Source organism: Homo sapiens, chromosome 2, assembly GCF_000001405.40.
Source record: "Homo sapiens chromosome 2, GRCh38.p14 Primary Assembly".
Lineage (NCBI taxonomy): Eukaryota > Metazoa > Chordata > Mammalia > Primates > Hominidae > Homo > Homo sapiens.
This window is the reverse complement of record NC_000002.12, coordinates 46,405,350-46,425,886: the sequence shown is the minus strand read 5'-3', so window position 1 is coordinate 46,425,886 and position 20,537 is coordinate 46,405,350. Positions and strand designations below refer to the sequence as shown.

Sequence of the window (20,537 nt, the reverse complement as noted above, 5' to 3'; positions counted from 1 at the left end):
GCTTAGCTCATCTAGTGCATTTCATATCTTGTCCGATCAAATCTACTTATTCTAAGAACATTTAGTCAGTGTTTCCATTATGTATCTCAGGGTATCTGTGAGATCAAATTTTGTATGTGTTTCACCAAGACACTCCATATATAGTCTATAAATTATATATGAACATTTTTTGAATATCACTCACTTTTGACATGAGCCTGCTTCTCCTAGGAACAAATTCAAACTGTGGTCCTGTATAGCACAAATAATGCTTTTAAATATTTGACCACAATTCTGGCTCATTAATGTTTTTTAATTTACCAACCATATTAGTACCTTTATTAAAGGCTTACTCTAGACAGTCTTTTAAAACAATTCCTTCATTGAAAGTAGTTTCTGTAGTTTTTTGCTTAAGACAAAACTTGTACTTTTTACAGCAGGTGAAGAATTCATCAATTCCTGGTTTCCCTCTTCTAGTAGTTCATCAGTACAAATTAAGGATATTGTTAATGTAACTTTTGTTCCTGTTATAATCTAGTTGAATGAAGTAATTTTCACTTTTATTTTATGCATTTATTTTATGTATGATTTCATTACTTTATTACCTATTAACTTAATCGTTATCTCATTTATTTCTCCATCTTACATGGTAACCAAAGTTTCTAAAAAAAAGTTTCACTTCTATATCTTGCCACTCTAGCACCATTTCAAAATGATTTCCTCCAAACCTATACCTTGTCTTTATTTTTTTTTAAATATTACGTAATTAGTACCCTGAAGAACTTCAACTTGCTTGGCTAAAATAATGAGACATAATTTTATTCTTTTCAGAGGATCAAAACAAGTTTGTTTTTTTTTGTTTTTGTTTTTGAGATGAAGTCTCCCTTTGCTGCCCAGGCTGCAGTGCAGTGGCGCAGTCTCGGTTCACTGCACCCTCCACCTCCTGGGTTCAAGCGATTCTCCTGCCTCAGCCTCCTGAATAGCTGGGATTACAGGGGCCTGCCACCACACCCAGCTAATTTTTGTGTTTTTGATAGAGACAGGGTTTTCAGTGTTCACTTACCTTGATTACTATCACAGGTTTGCTGTTAATTCAGCCTTTTTTTTTTTAACTTTTAGTATAATAGTTGCATGCGTGTCTTTTGTGTGCAAGTAATGTTTTCTATTAACCAAGAACCTAGGTCTCTCCAGTCACAGGTATTTTATTTTCATGGTCAATGCTAATTTTGAATATTGATTATAAAACATAGCAATAGTTACAAAATTCTTCGTCTACATTTCTCCATTTGAAATAGTTTTGGTGTAGAATGAAGTGTTAAATATTCTTGCATGTTCATCCAATGGGAAGTTGTAAACATTAGTTCATGTCAGACTGTGTTTGAGATACATTCTCTTGCTGTGAGAAACACGTGACTGCTGTTTCCTACAATCATTGTCCAATAAGCAGAGTAAAGCCATGGAGGTTTCTTTCTTTTACATGAAATATACCAATTCTAAAACATGATTTTCTTTTTGTAATAGAAAGGCCAGAGTGTAAGTTTTTAATCCTGAGTTGTGCATTAGATCAATTGTTTTCATTGTCACTTTAGTATGAAGTCGTAAGAGCTTCATCTGACTTGTTCGCATTGCAGATTTGACAAAAATAATTTTCTTGCTTGTTTTTATTTTGATAAAAAATTATGCTAATTTTTTATTATGTATTTTTCTCACATTCTATTTCGGGTCATGTTTGACAGAGGTCTTTTTACTTTCATTGTTTCCAGTATTAAAAACTTAACAGATCACCACTTGGGATATTTTTCTGTTACTTTTTTCTCTAATTTTTTTTTTCCTGAGTTCTACCTTGCCATTTTTTATCTCTAGTATATCTTTATTTTTACACCTCAAACAGCTAAAGCATTTTAAAAAAGTTTTTAATGTGCTCAGGTATCTGAAATTTGAATATATCTTCATTAAAGATTCTAGCTAATATAAAAAATTAAAAATTATCTTTCATGAGTGTTTCAAAAATTGTATTTTTTCTATTTATTTATTTATTTATTTATTTATTTATTTATTTATTTATTTATTTATTTATTTATTTTGAGATGGCGTCTCGCTCTGTCGCCCAGGCTGGAGTGCAGTGGCGCGATCTTGGCTCACTGCAAGCTCCGCCTCCTGGGTTCACGCCATTCTCCTGACTCTGCCTCCGGAGTAGCTGGGACTACAGGCGCCCGCCGCCACGCCCGGCTAATTTTTTGTATTTTTAGGAGAGATGGGGTTTCACCGTGTTAGCCAGTATGGTCTCGATCTCCTGACCTCGTAATACGCCCGCCTCGGCCTCCCAAAGTGCTGGGATTACAGGCGTAAGCCAGCATGCCCGGCAAAAATTGTAGTTTTTCTAAACTGTGCAAAATTACTTACTGAAATAAAAGGTAAAATACAAGCTATAATTGAACTATCAAAATTCTAAGTAAAAATAATTTAAATCTGAAACATGCTGGGTGTAGTGGCTCATGCCAATAATCCCAGCACTTTGGGAGGCTAAGGCCTAGCCCAAGAGTTTGAGACCAGCCTGGACAACATGACAAAACCCCCTGGATGATTCTAGCATCCAGTGTCCATCTAGTTGCCAAGATGAAGAATCAGAATTACATTTCATGCATATTACATCTAGACCCACATATATACAAATTTAAGAGTAATATGAATGGTTTAATATTGCAAAATGCTCCTCAGCCATCATGAGCAAGTATTGTGAAATTGGCAGTAATTTGTGAGTACTTCTGGAGCCATTAATTGGAACATAAAAGGAGCAAGGAAATGAATACCAAACACTGCTGGGAGGTAATTTTTTTTTTTTCATGTAAGAATCTATTGAATTCATGCTGAGACTTAGGATTTGGAAAGTTAATTTCTCTTGTCTTTTACCTAAGTGCTTTGTCACTTAAATCCTTTCCACATTCTAAGGAAGTGTCCATTTCTGATGTTTTGGCAGTGGCAAAACCCATAAATCTTTCTGGCCTGATGGGTAGAAGAGATTCCCTGGGGGTTTGAATGCCATTGTTCATGGGATTATTTAGATTATGAATTGTGTTGTGACGGGGCTGAGAACCAGATCCTAAGTGATGGAAGTTACCATATGTTCCTTAATAAATTGTGTGTGGGTGTGGTGCAAGGTATGGATGGAGATTCACATTTTCTGCATATGGATATCCAATTGTTCCAGCACCATTTGTTGAAAAGACAATCCCTTTTTGTCACTGAATTACTTTTGCATTTTTGTCAAAAATCAATTGACCATAGCTGTATATGTCCATTTATGGACTCTATTTTATTTGATTGATCTGTTTTTCTATTCTTACACTATATTATTATTTTTTTTACAATGTCTTTATTGTAGCTTAATAATGTCTTGAAATTGGTTTGTATAAGTGCTCCAACTTTGTTTCTAGTTTTCAAGGTAATTTGTGTTATTCGAATTTTAGAATCACTTTACCAATTTCTACAAGAAAGCAAGCAGGAATTTTAATTGGGATTGCATTGAATCTATAGATCAGTTTTGGAGAATTGGCATCTAACCAATATTGAGCCTTCTGATTTATGAACAGATTATTTAAGTTTTATTATTATTTTGTCAGCATGTTGTTTAGTCTTCAGTGTATAGGTCTGAATGTCTTTTGCCAAATGTCTTCCTATTTTATATTTTGATACTATGTATATGTACACACACACACACACATATATATATGTGTATATATATGTAGAGAGAGAGAGAAAGGAAAGAAAGAAAGAAACAAGCAAACAGGGTCTTACCCTGTCACCCAGGCTGGAGTGCAGTGGCACCTCATGGCCAACTGAAGCCTTAACTTCCTGGGTTCAAGTGGTCCTCCCATCTCAGCCTCCTGAGTATCTGGGACCACAGATGTGTACCACCATGCCCAGCTAATTTTTACATTTTTTTTAGAGATGGGTTATCATTATGCTGCGTAGGCTGGTCTCGAACTCCTGGGCTCAATTGATGCAACCATCTCAGCCTCCCAAAGTAGTGGGATTACAGGCATGAGCCACTGTGCCCAGCCAAGTACAATATTTTTTAAACTTTATAATTGTTTATGGCTAGTATATTAAAGTAGAAGTTATTTTGTATAGTGACTTTATATCCTACAATCTTGCTAAATTTACTTATTAGTACTACTTGCTTTTTTGTAGATTCTGTAGGATTTTCTAGAATGATATTCATGTCATTTGTAAAGACAGTTTACTTCTTAGTTTCCCATTTGGATGCCTTTTATTTCTTTTTGTTGCATTATTACTGTGGCTAAAACCTCCCAGTATCACGTTGACTAGAAGTGGTAAGAACAGTCATCTTTGCATTATTCATAATCTTGGGAAAAGCATTCAGTCTTTTGCCATTAAGTAAGATGTAACTGTAGATTTGTTATAGATGCTGTTTATCAGTTTAAGGAAGTTCTCTTCTTCTATCTGTCTGCTGAGAGTTTTTTGAAAATCAGAAGTGGGTGGTTAATTTTATAAAAAGCTTTTTCTGTGTCTCGATATGATTGTATGGATTTTCCTTTTTAATGTATTAAAATGAATTAAATAACTAACTTTCAAGTGTGTAACCAACCTTGCATTCTTGGGATAAACACCACTTTGTCATTATCTATTATCCGTTACATATAATATTAGATTCAATTTGATGAAAGTTTTTAAAAAGGATTTTTGCACCTATGTTTATGAGGAATATTGTTTTTTGTTTTTTGGATTTATTTATTTATTTATTTATTTATTTATTTATTTATTTATTTTTACTCGGATAACTTTACCTGTTCTTGATATTAGGAGAATGCTAGATTGCAATAATGAATTGGGAAGATTTTCCTTCTCTTCAGTTTTTGGAAGAGTATATGTAGAACTGATGTTTATTTCTTAAATGTTTGCTAGAATTCATCAGTGAAGCCATTGGAGACTAGAGTTTTTCTAAAAAGATATACAACTATTCAGGTTATTTTTTTCTTCTTGAATGAGGTCTGGTATTTTGAGTCTCTCAAGGAACTTGTCCATCTTACCTAAGTTTTTGAACTTACTGGCATAAAATTATTTATAGTATTCACTAATTATCTTCTTGATATCTAGAATATGTAATAATGTCACCTCTCTCATTCCTGATATTGGTAATTCATTCTTCTCTCTTTTATTCTTGATTAGTCTGGCCAAAGATTTATTAATTGTATTGATCTTATCTAAGAATCAGATTTCGTTTTATTTATTTTTCTCTGTTGTTTTCTTTTTTCTTTCTTTTTTTTTTTAAGATAAGGTCTTGCTCTGTTGTCCAGGTTGCAGTGCAGTAGTGCAATTACAGCTCACTGTAGTCTCAATCCCCTGGGCTCAAGTGATCGTCCCTCCTCAGTCTACCAAGTAGCTGGGACTACAGGCATGCACCACCACACCCAACTAATTTTTGGACTTGTTGTAGAGGTGAGTTCTCACTAGTTGCCTAGGCTGGTTTCAGACTCCTGGGCTCAAGCAACCCTCCTGCCTTGGCCTCTCAAAGTTCTGGGATTATAGGCATGAGCCACTGTGCCTTTTTCTTATTTTGTTGATTTCTGCTTATATCTTATTTCTATTATTTTACTAACTTTGGTTTAATTTTCTCATCTTTTTCTAATTTTTAAAAATTTTAATTGATAAATTATATATATTTATGGGATTTAGTGTGATGTTTAGAAATATAAATACATTGTAGAGAGATTAAATCAAGCTAATTAACATATTCATCACCTTACCTATTTTTTTATGACAATGTTAAAATCTACTCTTTTAGCAATTTTGAAATATATGTTATTATTAACTATGGTCACAGTGCTGTACAATAGACCACTAAAATTTATGTCTCCTCTCTAACCAAAACATTCTACCTTTGGGCCAACATCTCTCTTGTCCTTCCCCCCTCAACTCCCACCCCCCATTTCGTGCCTTTGGTAACTACCATTGTACTCTCTGGTTCTATAAGTTTGACATTTTTAGGTTTCACATATAAATGAGATCTTGCAGTATTTGTCTTTCTGGACGTGGCTTACTTCACTTGTCATAATGCTTTCCAGGTTTACTCATGTTGTCCCAAATGACAGAATTTCCTTTTTTTTTAAGGCTGTATAGCATTCCATCATTTATATATACATTTTGTTCATCCCTTCATCCATTGCATAGATACTTGGGTTGATTACATATCTTGGCTACTGTGAATACTGCTGAAATGAACATAGGAGTGCAGATATCTCTTTGACTTACTGATTTTAATTACTTTGGGTATACAGAAGTGGGATTTCTAGATCATAGGAAAGTTCTATTTTTAGTTTTTTGAAGAAACTTCATATTGTTTTCCAAAATAGGTGTACTAATTTACATTCCCGCTAAAGCGGGCCAGGGTTCCTTTTTTTTTTTCTTATGTCCTCATCAACACTTGTCTTTCATCTTTTTGATAATGGCCATTCTAACAAGTGTGAGCTCATCGTGTTTTTAATTTACATTTCCCTGAGGATTAAAGATATTGAACATTTTTTCATATATCTGTTGGTCATTTGTCCTCTTTTGAGAAATGTCTATTTAGGTTCTATGTTCATTTTGTAACTGAGTTATTTGTTTCTTGCTGTTGAGTTGTTTGTGTTCCTTTATATATTTTAGATGTTAGTTCCTTATCAACTGTTTGGTTTGCATATGTTTTCTCCCAATTTGTGGGTCGTCTCTTGACTGTGCTAGTTATTTCCTTTGTTGTATAGATGCTTTTATGTTTGATGCAGTCTCATTTTTGTACTTTTGCTTTTGTTACCTGTGCTTTTGGGTTCTTATCCAAGAAGTCATTGCTCAGACCAGTGTCATGGAGCTTTCCCTTTTCTTTTTCTTGGAGACAGGGTCTCACTCTGTCACCCAGGCTGGAATCCAGTGGCGCGATCTTGGCTAGCTGCAACCACCTGGCTGCTTTGTTTACCTAAGCAAGCCTGGGCAATGGCGGGCGCCCCTCGCCTAGCCTCGCTGCCGCCTTGCAGTTTGGTCTCAGATTGCTGTGCTAGCAATCAGAGAGACTCCGTGGGCGTAGGACCCTCTGAGCCATGTGCGGGATATAATCTCCTGGTGCAGCGTTTTTTAAGCCCGTTGGAAAAGTGCAGTATTCTGGTGGGAGTGACCCGATTTTCCAGGTGCCGTCTGTCACCCCTTTCTTTGACTAGGAAAGGGAACTCCCTGACCCCTTGCGCTTCCCACGTGAGGCAATGCCTTGCCCTGCTTCGGCTCGCGTACAGTGCGCTGCACCCACTGACCTGCACCCACTGTCTGGCACCCCCTAGTGAGATGAACCCGGTACCTCAGATGGAAATGCAGAAATCACCCGTCTTCTGCGTCGGTCAAGCTGGGAGCTGTAGACCTGAGCTGTTCCTATTCGGCCATCTTGGCTCCTCCCATCCTGGGCTTTTTATGCCCATATGTTGATTTTGTATCATGCAATTTTACTGAATTTGTTGATCAGTTCTAACAGTTTTTTTTTTTGTGAAATCCTTAGGGTTTTCTTTATATGAGATCATGTCATCAACAATACGGCAATTTCACTTCTTCCTTTCCTTTTTGGATGCCTTTATTTCTTTTTCTTGCCTGATTGCTTTGGTTAGGACTTTTATTACTATATTGAATAGAAGTGGTGAGGGTGAACATTTTTCTCTTGTTCCTGATTATAGAGAAAAAGCTGTCAACTTTTCACTGTTGAGTATGATGTTAGCTGTGTGCTTGTTATATAAGGTCCTTATTATGTTGTGGTACATTACTTGTACATTCTATAGCTAGTTTGTTGAGAGTTTTTATAATAAAGGATGAAGTTTGTCAAATGATTTTTTTGCATCCATTGAGATGATTATATGGGTTTTGTCCTTCATTTCATTAATATGGTGTGTCACATTTATTGACTTGCATATGTTGAATCATCCTTGCATCCCAGGAATGAATCCCAGTTGATCACGGTGAATGATCTTTTTAATGTGCTATTGCAGTTTGCTGATACTTTGTTGAGAATTTTTACATATATGTTCATCTGGGTTCTTTTTCTAATCTTTAATATGGATGCTGAGACCACTGAATTGAGACATTTTCTGTTTTCTAATAAAAGGATGTCAGTACTGTGAATTCCTAAAGGATTGCTTTCACTGTGTCTCACAATTTTGATATGTTGTGTTTTCATTTCCCTCCAGTTAAAAATTACTTTCTAATTTGCTCTTCTTAAATTTCTTCTGCAATTCGTGTCTCAGAATATTTGAGGATTTTCTAAATTTCACGGTCTTCTTGTGATTTCATAAGTTTTTGCTTTATGTATTTTGAAACTCTGTTATTAGGCTGTTAGGAAAAATTCAAACCATTTTTCCTTTGCTGTCATATCAACACAAGACTTCTGTGACCCCAAAATGTGTTGGGATTTCTCCCCACCAACAAATAAGCAATCAGTTCTGTAGTGGGTGCCAACTGGGTATCCTGTAATTCAATTCTGACATTATTTACTTAGAGATAGTGTCAGATCCCCTTGTTGAGGTCTCATTCCACAAAACTGTCCCTCCCTTTAGTCACCAGTCATAGGTCATGGCCTCTGGAACTTATGACTAACTAGCTTTAAGCTGGGTTTCAAGTTCCGTGACCCCCACTTTGGGCTTGATTAATTTGCTTAAGTGACTCAGAAACTCAGGGAAACATGTTTACCAGTTTATTATAAAGGATATTACAAAGGATACAGATGAAGAGATGCACAGGGCAAGGTATAGGAAGAGGCATGGACCTTGCATGCCCTCCCTGGGTATGCCAGCTCTCAGGAAACTCCATATGTTCAGCTGTCTGGAAGCTCCCTGAATGAACCTTTGGACGTTTTATGGAGATTTCATTGGATAGGCGTGATTGATGACCATGTACAAAAGTGAGTGGACTAAAAGTGTTTGATCTAAATACAGCGAAGCCTGTCTGTTCAGATTCTTCTTGGCCTCTCTGTGCAGCATTCCTTCCTTCAAAATATGGGGCAGGTTTCTTTCTGAAATGAGGCTTTTATGTTCTACACTCAGAGTTTTGCCTTGGGCAAGAGAAGATCAGAGAGAGAAATTCTTTTTACTGTAAGAAGGGCTATGTCAGTTATGAGCCAGGAGCCATGAACAAAAGCCACCTGTATCTGTATCTCATAATGTCACATAGGCCCATATACATTTAAGGACTGTGTCTTCTTGATGAATTTAACCTTTCCTATGCCCCTGTTTATTCCTGGTTTGCTCTGGTTAGTGTTAAATGTGTTCTTTTACTCTGTGTGCTCTGGTTAGTGTTATGTCTGTTCTTTTACTTTTAACCTGTTTTTGTCTTTTTAAAGAGAATTTCTGATAGGCAAGATAGTTAGGCCTTGCTTTTTTTTAATCCAATCTGACATTCTCTGTCATTTACCTGGAGGTATTTAGACCATTTACATTTAATATTAATGATATGATTTGATTGAATCTGCCATCTTGTCATTTGTTTTCATTTCATTTGCTCTTTGTTCCCCTTTTCCTTTTCTTTTGCCTTCTGTTGGATTTATTGCCTATTTTTAATTCTGTTTTACTTTCTTTGTTAGATTATAGTTCTATCCATTTGTTTTATTTAGCGGTTGTTTTAGGCTTTATATTGTACATATTAACTTAGAGTCTACAATTAATACTTTATTGCTTTATATATAGTATTAAATTAAAAACTTACAACAGTTTACTTGTATTTCCCTTCTTCTGGCCTTTGTGCTATTCTTGTCATATATGTTAGTTTTATATCCATTATAAGTTATTGGCTATTATTTTTGCTTTAAATAGTCAATTTTGTTTTCAAGACTCTAAACATAATACATTATTTTATATTTTCTCACTATTAATCCTTTCCAATGCTCTCTGTTTATGTATCTGATATTTTCCTTCCATCTAAAAACATTTCCTTTAATATATGTTTTTGTAATATGGATCTGATGATGAAGAATAATTTCAGCTTTTGAATTTCTAAGGTTTTTATTTTGTCTTTGTTTTTGAAACACATTTTCATTAGGTCTGGATTGCTAGATTGACAGGCTTCTTCCTCCCCCACCGCCCCCAGAATTTTAAAGATTTTACTCCATTAATTGCTAGCCGGCATTGTTTCCAATGAAAATTCTGATGTAATTCTTATCTTTGTTATTCTGTTATAGCATATCTTTTATCTCTGCCTGATTTTAAGATTTTCTTTTTATTGTTGGTTTTAAGTAATTTAATTATGATATTCTGAAGTGTAATGTCCTTGGTGTTTCTTTTGCTTGGGGTTTGTGGAGATTTTTTGTGGACTTACAGTTTGGATCATTTTTGGAAAGTTTTGGCCATTATTTCCTTAAATAATATTTTTGTTCTCCCCTTGCCTTTAATTACATGTAATTTGTTCACTTAGTTCACTGATGTTCTGTCCTCACCGCGTCTTTTCTTTATGTTTCATTTTGGATACTTTCTGTTGTTGTGTCTTCAAGCTCACAAGTCTTTTCCTTGGTAGTGTCTGTCTATTTATTCTATCCAGTGTTTATTTTGTTTTAAATGTAGAGGTTTTTATTTTTAGGGTTTGATTTGGGATTTTTTTTCACTTTATTTTATTTTATTATTATTATACTTTAAGTTTTAGGGTACATGTGCACAACGTGCAGGTTTGTTGCATATATATACATGTGCCATGTTGGCGTGCTGCACCCATTAACTCATCATTTAGCATTTTCCTCTACCTACTTGGACATATAGAATATAGTTATACTAATTATTTTGATGACTTTTTCTGCTAATCTTATCTTTTGTGCCATTTTCATATGTTCCTATTGATTGAATTTTTTCCCTTATGTTTCCTGTTTCCCTTCATGACTATTTTATTTCCTTTCCTGTTTCCTTTCATATTTCCTGTTTCCTTTCATTTTTGTTTGCTTGTTTTTGTTTTGTTCAGAGACAGGGCTGTTCCCCAGGCTGGAGTGCAGTGGTTTGATCTTGGCTCAGTGCAGCCTTGACCTTCTGGGCTCAAACAATCCTCCCCTCCACCTCCCCAGTAGCTGGAACTGCAGGCATGGACCAATGTGCCTGGCTAATTAAAAAAAAAATTATTCTTGTAGAGATGAGGTCTCACTGTGTTGCCCATCATGGTCTCGAATGCCTAGGCTTAAGCAGTTCTCCTGCCTTGACCTCCTGAAGTGCTGGGTTTTGTAGGAGTGATCCACAGGGCCTGGCCTCTGTTTTTTTTTTTTTTTTAATTGAATGCCAAATATTATACATTCTACCTTTTCAGATTCTAGATATTTGTGTATTCCTCCAAATATTCTGAAATTTGGTTCTGGGATGCAATTAAGTTTTTTGGAAAAAGTATGATACTATTGAGTCTTTCTTTTAAGTTAGGTGGGACCATCATAATCTTTAGTCTAGGGTTACATTTCTCTATACTACTGAGGCAATATCTGAGTCCTTCACCTGGTACATCACGGATTATGAGGTTTTCTATTCTGGCTGCTGGAAATATAAACTGCTCCTGGTGCTGAGTGAGCTCCAGTGATTTGCTTTTTCTTTTTGAGTGGTCCTTTCCTCAGCATCAGGTAACTTCCTCACATGAATGCATTGATTGTTCCCAGCTGAAAACCCACAGGGATCCTCTGCAGATCTTTGAATCTCTCTTCTATCCATAAACCAGCTATGTGGTAGGTACCATTATTATGCTCATTTTACAAAGAAAAAGAGAGGTAGATGATGTGCCCAGGGTGGCACAATTAGTAGAGAATAGAGCTGCGATTCAAATCCTGACTGACTGTTCTGGAGGCTGGCCTAACCACTCTGCTCTACTACCTCTCTATGTGTGGTCATTCAATAGTTTCTAGGGTTCACTTACCTCAGGTATGATTTTAGGGCTAAGCTCCTAAAAGCTCAGATAACAATTAACATGTTTTACAAATCAAGGTCAACTGCTCCAAATTATGCAGTACTTGGACCAATTTAATTGGTCCCTATTTTCTTGCTAGTAAATACAGTTTCACTTTGAGAAGATGTCTTATCCCCAAGCCATTTAAGAGCTACTCAGAATGTTGGAATCCTGTCACTCTGCTTTTTTTTTTTTTTTTTTTTTTTTTTTTTTTTAATTTTTCCTTTTTGATACAGGTTTTTACTGTCACCTAGGCTGGAGTGCAGTGGTGCAAACATAACTCACTGTAGCTTCTACCTCCTGGGTTCAAGCAATCCTCCCACCTCATCCTCCTGAGTAGCTGGGACTACAGGTGCACACCACCATATCTGGCTGTTTTTTAAAAAATTATTTTTAGTAGAGACAGGATCCCAGTATGTTGCCCAGGGTGGTCTCAAACTCCTGAGCTCAAGGCGATCCTCTGGCCATGGCCCCCCAAAGTGCTGGGATTACAGGTGTGAGTCACTACACCCAGCCTCCTTTTCCTTATTACCTCTACAGGTAGGATCCTGTCCCATGCAGCGTTGTTCTTTTTGGAAAAGGCAGCTGTCCACCCCCTCAAATACCAACAAGTTAGCTGACTGAGCATTGCTTCTAAAATGGATGTCAATTTTTGTGCATTGAATTGCAAGCTGGCGTTTCTCAGTTCAGTTTTTTTACAAGAGGTGCAGGCAGGCTCCAGGCACAGCTTTTTCCTACTTCACACTGCCATTGTCACACCTTTGGGGGAAGTCAGGGCAGGAGTATTAAGAACAGGGTCCTTGGCATTTGATTCAGGACAGGAATCAGTTACAGGCTGAGCTGACTGAGCACACAGTGACCATGACTGAAGAAAGAGACGATCTGAATTGTTTAGCTGACAAGTTTCAAACTGTGGGTCCTATGCTGTATTGTCTTCTTTTTTTGCTTGGTCTACCTGGATTCAAACCAAAAGCTTCTTGGGAGATGAATTTAATCACCGTTCAGGGGAAAAATCACACATTCCAGGAAAAAAGATGCCTTACATATTGCCTGCCATATACATGGTTGTAACTGTTCCATTCTTGTCTATTTATACTGGCTGTTTAAAAATCCCAAATATAGATATTATTTAATTATAAATTATACAATTATAAATCAATAAAAATAAAATGATAAATATAAATACTAAAAATAGTAAAACCATTTTGGGCACTGTTGTCAACATAATGTGATGTGCTTATCTGATGATTTATTTTATGAAACGTCAAAATAACTTTGGGCTCAAAAGTCAATCTAAATCTGTAACTTTTGTTTGAAAATCATAATTTTAATGGCTGCCTATGACCTAGAACAGCTTTTGGCCAAATAGCCACAAGTCTGTCACTACCCCAAGCATAGATATTTTAGTCAAAAATTTAAAGGAAATACCAATATTTGGCTGGGGAGTAAGGGTTGGTCTATTTGTTATTTGCACAGTGGGACTATTTCTCTTATTTTTGTGTCTTAAATCAGGAGCATATAAACTCTTGGCTCTGTTTGTTCCTGCCCTTTTTGGTCTGTTCATTTCTGTGCTTGGCAGAGAAAATAACTTAGAGAAATTAGCTGCCCAAATGTGTGATTTCTTGGTCTACCAGGGCTGGGTGTGAAGCAGGTGCTTCCAGGACATTCCTGGGTTGTCCAGGGTGCTCATGTGTAATCATCTGTCTACACAGTATAGCAACATCATTTCCCAGCATCCCTCTGGTTCCAACAAGCTGGATCACTCTGTGTCTTTGCAGTTCTCTGTGATAGACACTGGCAGCTGGTGATATGTGGGGCTGACAGTTTCCCCTGAAACTTGGCAATGAGGGGAACAAGGACATAGGCAGAGCTGTGCAGCCTGAGAGCCCTGAGAAGGAGGTTGGGAAGTGTGCTCTGGGGTCTCTCCAGTAGCAGACGCAGGTTCAGCAGAGCTGGAATTGGCCCAAAATAATGAATTTGTCCTCCTGGAACAAAAACAGGGAAAGAACTGAGCTCACTTGGATGTCCCAGGTTGAGACAGGAGAGGTCATTTAGGTCCATTAAGAGCCAGGAGTGTGTCATCTGTCTTATATCATGGGATATAAGAAAGTGGGGATCAGAGGAACAAATCTGATGGTGAGCTCCCTGTAGGTCTACCCAGGTCTACCCAGGCAAGAGGAGACTCGATTCTGGGGAATGTGGGTCATACAGTTTTCTTTTGCAAGAGCATCCTCAGTGTGTCTTTGGGTAACTGTCACCCGCCCGTAATGACATGTTTAGTGTCTGGCTTCTCTCTTAGGACCATACACTCAGTGAGGCAGGGCCTAGGTTGGTCTGGTTCTTAGATGGTTCCCCACTGCCCAGCAAAAGGTCTAGTGGGCCATGACCAGAGAGGTGTGCTATACCTTTGGGGCAGACTGCCTCAGCAAGAGACCTGTTTTTCCTGTGCTCTCTGCTTCCTGTGTGCTGATTTCACTCCTGTCTCACAGTGGCCATGCCCCATTCCTGGGTTGGTGACCCCTGACAGCAGTGAGCATTCTGGTCACTATTACTCATATACCTCACCCAATGTAAATGAATGCATTTAGATGGGATTTTATAGCTCTCTTCTGCATTGGATCAGCATCAGTTGATTACTAATAAGTATTTTCATCTCTGCATGAATGACGGAGTCCTCTTCCTGGTCAGTTAAGGCCAGACTCTGATCATGGTAAATTTGCTAAGAAATGCCAAAGCAGCGTCACCCTCTGAGGTCCCTTGGTGTTACCACCCTTTTGTCAACTCATGTATGATCCCACCTGATTCATTCAGTTCAAAGCTTTAACACGGCTAGAAGCCTCTGAAGGGAGCTATGAAGCATGCCAGCTGGTCATTTGAGCACCAGGGCCCTGGTGCCTGGTTCCAGTTCTCACTTGCCACTTCCCAGCTGTGTGACTTCTGTGAGTTTAGCAACCTCTCTGGGCTCAGTTTTCTTATGGGGATGATAACAGTTAATGGCCTCAGCATAGGTAAGGGATTAAGTGAATAAAGACATATAAGGACTCCACACAGGGCCTGGCACACTGGAAAGGCTCAGCGAGTGTTTGCTCTGATGATTCTCAAGCATTGTTATCTCTTAACTTGCTTTTTAATATTCATCTTTTTCAGCAAGGCCCTGAACCTCCCCTCTTCACCACGTGCATTCATTCATCCATCCCTCTGTCCAACTTCATCTAATGGGGCCAGCGTGGCTACATCAACACAGCTGCCCTTGTGTTTCTGGAACAGTAAGAAGGGTTCTGAGCCCCATGAGAGCAGAAGCAGGCCTATATACCTTCACATCTGTATCCTCAGGGCCTGGATCAGGGCTGGCCCTGAAGAGGTACTCAGGAATGTTTGGTAAAGAAACGTTCTCAGCATTTGTCTTCCCAGCTGACCAGGAAGGTTCCACTTGATCCTGGGCACCCGTTCTGGGTACAGCATAGGCTATTGGCCAACACATGCTCAGCTGTGCCAAAGATGAGAGGAGCAGGGCATGTGCCTCGGGCAGCTCTGGTAGTTTCATTAAGATTCCTGTTTGCTGGGTATGTCGTGGGGAAGCTGATCATGGTGTTCCCACCACCACGGCTAGCTGGGAAAGCCTTGTCTCACCTACCTCCATCTCCTGCTTCCTGGGCACCTGCTTGCGGGAGAGAGAGAGAGCAATTCAGGTATGCCACAAGGGGAACTTACCTGCCTAAATGCAGGTTTGTCAAGAATTCTTGTCCAGCCAGAAAAAATCTTGTCAGGCTGAAGCGAAGTGATACATGATTTTTTTTTTTAAAGTCTGCTTTAAATTTCTCGTGGCTTCCAAAAAAGCGGCTAGCATACTTCCATATGGGATAAACTGGTATTCCATTAGATTAACTCATGCAACATTTTCTGAGAACCTACTGTGCCCCAGGTACCAGAGATGCCACAATGAGTAAAACCTACCCCACCAGGCTGTGCCATGTGGCCAGAAGAGCCCAGATGAGGAGGCTGTGGGTCTCTCCAGTAGCAGGTGTGGGGTCAGGCTCGTGGTCATCTTAGCCTCTTCCAGTCCTGCTTGTCTGGAGTCTGTGTGATGTAGGGGCAAGAGCACTGAGAGGACGTTGAAGGCCCTGGATTCTGTCTCTTGTTTGTCCTTCACCCGCTGAATGTCTGACAAATGGTTTCTTCATCTGTAAATGAGAGAGCCACACTAATTAAAGGTCTGGAAGGGCCCTTGAGGACACACATTCCATGTTCTGTGATCCCCACTTCTCTGTGTGTGTTTTCTCTTTTTTCTCTCAGCACACTGGGGCCAGACACTGCCGCTACATGTGGTGGAACCAAGTGACAGAGGGGGAGTAAGCGGAGGCTGGAATTTCTCCCTCTGTTGGCTCTCCCTGACCACCTGCCTGCTTAGCCTCTCCTCTTCCCCCAGTGAAAGTGCTGCAGCAATCTCGGCCTTTGGCACTCTCCTCAGGAATTTATGAAGCTTGTGATGTGAATGATGGAGCCAGCTAAGCCTCCTCTGCACTGACAGCTCAGCACAATGACCTGTTGGGTGATGAAAGAAATGCCAGGTGCTTCAGGTGAATTGGCTGGGATTGGGTAACTCAGAGAGTTGGCTCCAGAGTGTGTGTGTGTGTGTGTGTGTGTGTGTGTGTGTGTGTGTGTGTATTCATGGGACCTCACTTGAGCCAATGACACACCCAGACGGGACCTGGGCCAGCGGGCGTTGGGCCTGAGGTAAACGCCTGAGTCACTTTTGTCAACAGATCCTAGGCCCTGTCCACATATGGACTGGGAACCATGACTGCGCCTCACAATAGCCCAGCGAGGGCTGGTGTTTTTCCACTTAGAGTTGGTTTTGTTTCCCAAAGCTGAGCCTAATCCTTTTAACCCTTGCCTCTGGACTCCTCTTGGGGAGGAAGGGAACGCTATCCTTGCCTCACCAGCTCAGGTGGTTGTGCAACCAGCTCTAGGCGCGGGAGGAGGGCCAGGCCGCCTGTGTGTGCTCTGTGGGCAGGGCAGGTAGGCAAAAGGCCAAGTTTTAGGGCTGGACTCCTTCCCTGTGGGCTGGGGAGAGGGCTGAGGAAGGCTCCTGCTGGATCCCGGGGTTGGGATGGGTTCCTGGCTGGCTGGACTTCTGCCTACCCATCACCCTCTGTGACAGCCCCTTTCTTCGTGGTCCGGCCTTGCCTTCTTCCTCACTCTCTCACACTCCCTGCCAATCTCAGTCTTATCTCTCCTGTGGCTCGACAGAGAGCTTCCAGCCCAGGCCTCTCTGCCTAGCCCCAGATGCCCAGCCTCTGCCCAGCCCCAGATGCCCAGCCTCTGCCCTCAGGTGTCTCCAAGTCAGCGTGGGGCCCAGAAATGAGGATGCAGGCTCTGAAAACCACATCACAGCTCTGATTCTTACAGGGTTTTCAATCACACTACGCTTCAGTTTTCTCATCTATAGATATGGATAATAGCTGTGCCCTTCTCAAAGGTCCCCCCATGTGGGATTTAAATGAAATAATTCATATAAAGTTCCTAGATCTTGGCCTAGCACCTATTATTTTATTGTCTCTCTTCTCCAGCCCCAAACCTGCTCATGCTGCAGTCTCCCCGGTCCTGGTTTGTGGCTCAGTGGTTCACCCAGGCCACCCTGTGTCCTGCCCGTGCCCATATCTAGTCATCTCTAGGCCGCAGTCCTTGCTGCCTCTGCATTCCTGCGGCCCTGTGTTAGTTTAGGGCCTCTTTCTCTCTTTTCTGTAGTAGTGAGTTCCTAGCTCCTGAGCCAGCTGCATGATGCAGTCCCCAAATCTGATACAATCCTAATACAACGGCCCAATCCGATCATTACAAAAAGGCGGAGGAGCTCGCTATCAACTCCAGAATCAAGTCCACAACCTCCAAGGTGTGCGCAGCCTGGCGAGACCTGGGCTTTGCTCACCCTTCTGGCTTAATTCTCACCACACACTCCCCTGTAGCAGCCATGCCAAACCACGGCCCACGCTTCCGTCTCCTTGCCTTTGTTCGTGCTGTTCCTGCTTTCTGCTTTACACCTTTCCTGTATCCTTCTTTACCTGCTAGATGCCTGCTTTGCCATCAAGACAATAATCTTTTTTAAATTTAAATTTAAATTCTTTTGACTTTTAGGTGTAGGGTACATGTGCACATTTGTTAGGTAAATTGCATGAAAGACAATCTTAAATACATTTACAGACCCAGTAGCCAGACACTGTACTAACTGTGATTTACATGTATTCATATAATCTTTTCAACAACCTCTTGAAGTGGGTACCATTTATAAATGAGGAAACTGAGGCACAGAGAGGTTGGTAAGTTGACCAAGCTCATAGAATTAGTAACTGGCAGAGCCTGGGTGCAAACCCATGCAGCCAGTGCTAGAACCTGCGCCTGACTGCTACGCTATGTCTCAAGCCCCTCGTAGGCACTGCCCTCCCACTGATGCCCACCTGGCCTCCCCAGGCACTGTTTGGTGCCTCCCCTTTGGTGCTGGTGACTACTGTTGCTTTGCCACAACATGTGTTAGTCACAGTGCTTTTTCCGGCGAACCTCTGGAGGGCAAGGACCGTGTTCTGTTCATTCTCACATCCCCATGGCCCACAGTGCTTGGCACCTGGTAGGTGCCCAATAGACGTTTGTTACACCAAAAGAGCTGGTGAATGAAATGTCATCTGTAGGACTTGTCAGAATGCCTTCTTGCTTCCATCAACCTTTGGCCCTCCATTTCCAAGACTTACCTAAGACTTGCCTCCTTCCTGAAGCCTCACCCACCCTCACTCTCTTCCTTTGCTGGAAGCCTCCTCGCTTGCACAAGGCTCATGTGTATATGGTCAATTCTTTTCCCTCCCTCCCTTCCTTCCTTCCTGACAGAGCTTTGTGCTTGTTGCCCAGGCTGGAGTATAGTGACGCGATCTCGGCTCACTGCAACTTCCACCTCCCGGGTTCAAGCGATTCTCCTGCCTCAGCCTGCAGAGTAGCTGGGATTACAGGTGTCTGCCACCACACCTAGCTAATTTTTTGTGTTTTTAGTAGAGACAAGGTTTCACCAGGTTGGCCAAGCTGGTCTCGAACTCCTGATGGTCAGTTCTTGATTAGGTTTGTTGATGGTAGAGGAGCCATACCGTTGCCAGTGGGCTGGGGAAAAGCTCTGGCTCTCTTTTGTTTGGGAGAAGGCAGCTTAGTGAGTCAGATCACACCTTAATGCTCTTGCCCAGCTGGGGGAGGAAGGGAGAGTGCAGAAAGGTGTTGGGGGTAAGGGCAGGAGACACACCAACAGTGCATCCTGTTGGGATGTCCTTCTGTAACCACAGCCCCTTGCTTCCCAATTCAAATGATGAAAAGAGTAACAAGGAATCCAAATGCAGAACAAGTGGCCACCCTGTCCCCATGACTGTAACCAATCCATACACAGGATAAAGGAGATGGACCCAGGAGGGGCATTGTGAGGCTGCTGCTAACTTCCCACAGCATCCAGAGAGCACCTCTCAGTCTGATGGCCCGGATATCAGGGGTGTGGGCAGGAGTGGCAGTGGGGCAGGAGGGAGCTACTGCTGAAGGTCTTGTGCTGGTGCTAGGCCTGGCAAATGGCACACCTGGTTCCACCGAGTCCTGAAAGCCTAGGAGCTGGGGTATCGTGTCCACTACGCAGAGAAGGAAACTGAGTCAGGAATCATTTTACCCATCAAGTGTCCACCCCAGAAAGTCTGGTAACTCTAACGCCAGTCACTGAAAATTTAGGACGTGTCTCTTCGTTTCAGTTTTCTGTTCCACCGAGTGGATGTGTCCCCCGCCTCTGTCTCTCAGCTTCTGGAGGAATTGAAGCCTGTGACATGTTTCGTTCCCAGATGCTTCTTGCAGCCTCTACCCGACACTGCTTATGGAAGCTGAGGCTCAGAGAGGGCTCTGGAATATTTCAGCCGCTTACATGTAGCCATTTTGGTGTGGTTGTGTCAAAATGACTTTGCCCAGATGCAAAACCACTGGTAACTTAAACTTCTTTTTTAAGTAGTATCTCCCAGGGATCTCTGTAAGCCATGTCACCCCCACCTGGTCTCTCCCTTTCCTCTTCCTCAACCCTGCCCTGACCCTGACTTACCCAACCCCTGCTTGATCTTCATGTGATGATGAGGCAGGTGTGGGGAAGAAGAAAGTATTTGCATATTACTTGGTAATTTTTCAGGAGGTAAATGTTGGATGCATGTGCCTGCTGTTGTTTTGGTTTTAGGTGGCATTAAACTGTTCCAACATGGGTCCTGTGCCGGAGTGTTGCAACTTGGGGAGTTCCCTGGGGAGGCGCCTGTCTCCCTGCGTGGCTGGGGCTCCTTGGTCTCAGCATCAGATGGGGCTGGGGTATGAGGGTGGGTGGGAAGTCCGTGTTCTTGATGAGGGGAGAGGTGCTGGGAATCCCACTGGACACAGCTAGGCTCAGTGCACATTGGGCAGGCTACCCCTGGGGTGCAGGTGGGGACCTCAGCAAGTCCCGGAGGGAAAGCACTTAGCTGGGCAATGTGAGCTTTGGACTCCAGTTTTGCCACGTGCTACCTGTGTGACCTTGACCCAGCTCCTTAACCTCTGTGAGGCTGTCTCCTCATTCATGAAAAGGAGGATAATGAACCTTTCTCTTACGTTGGCTG

The 20,537-nt window shown here is 41.1% G+C and overlaps 1 long non-coding RNA gene across 1 annotated transcript, besides 1 other annotated feature; it reads left to right on the top strand.

Moving 5' to 3' along the window:
• The first annotated feature begins 13,116 nt into the window (after positions 1–13,116).
• LOC124907762 (uncharacterized) lies at positions 13,117–20,153 on the top strand. The gene is made up of 2 exons (XR_007086306.1): positions 13,117–16,478; positions 19,662–20,153. It is a non-coding gene; the product is annotated as an uncharacterized LOC124907762 (long non-coding RNA).
• Positions 16,447–17,021: an enhancer, noted in NCBI's record as "H3K27ac-H3K4me1 hESC enhancer chr2:46636005-46636579 (GRCh37/hg19 assembly coordinates)". NCBI's record gives its function as "activates a minimal SCP1, AML or CMV promoter by ChIP-STARR-seq in primed H9 embryonic stem cells {active_cell/tissue: H9 hESC(primed)}" and the evidence as "EXISTENCE:reporter gene assay evidence [ECO:0000049][PMID:30033119]".
• Positions 20,154–20,537: the final 384 nt, after the last annotated feature.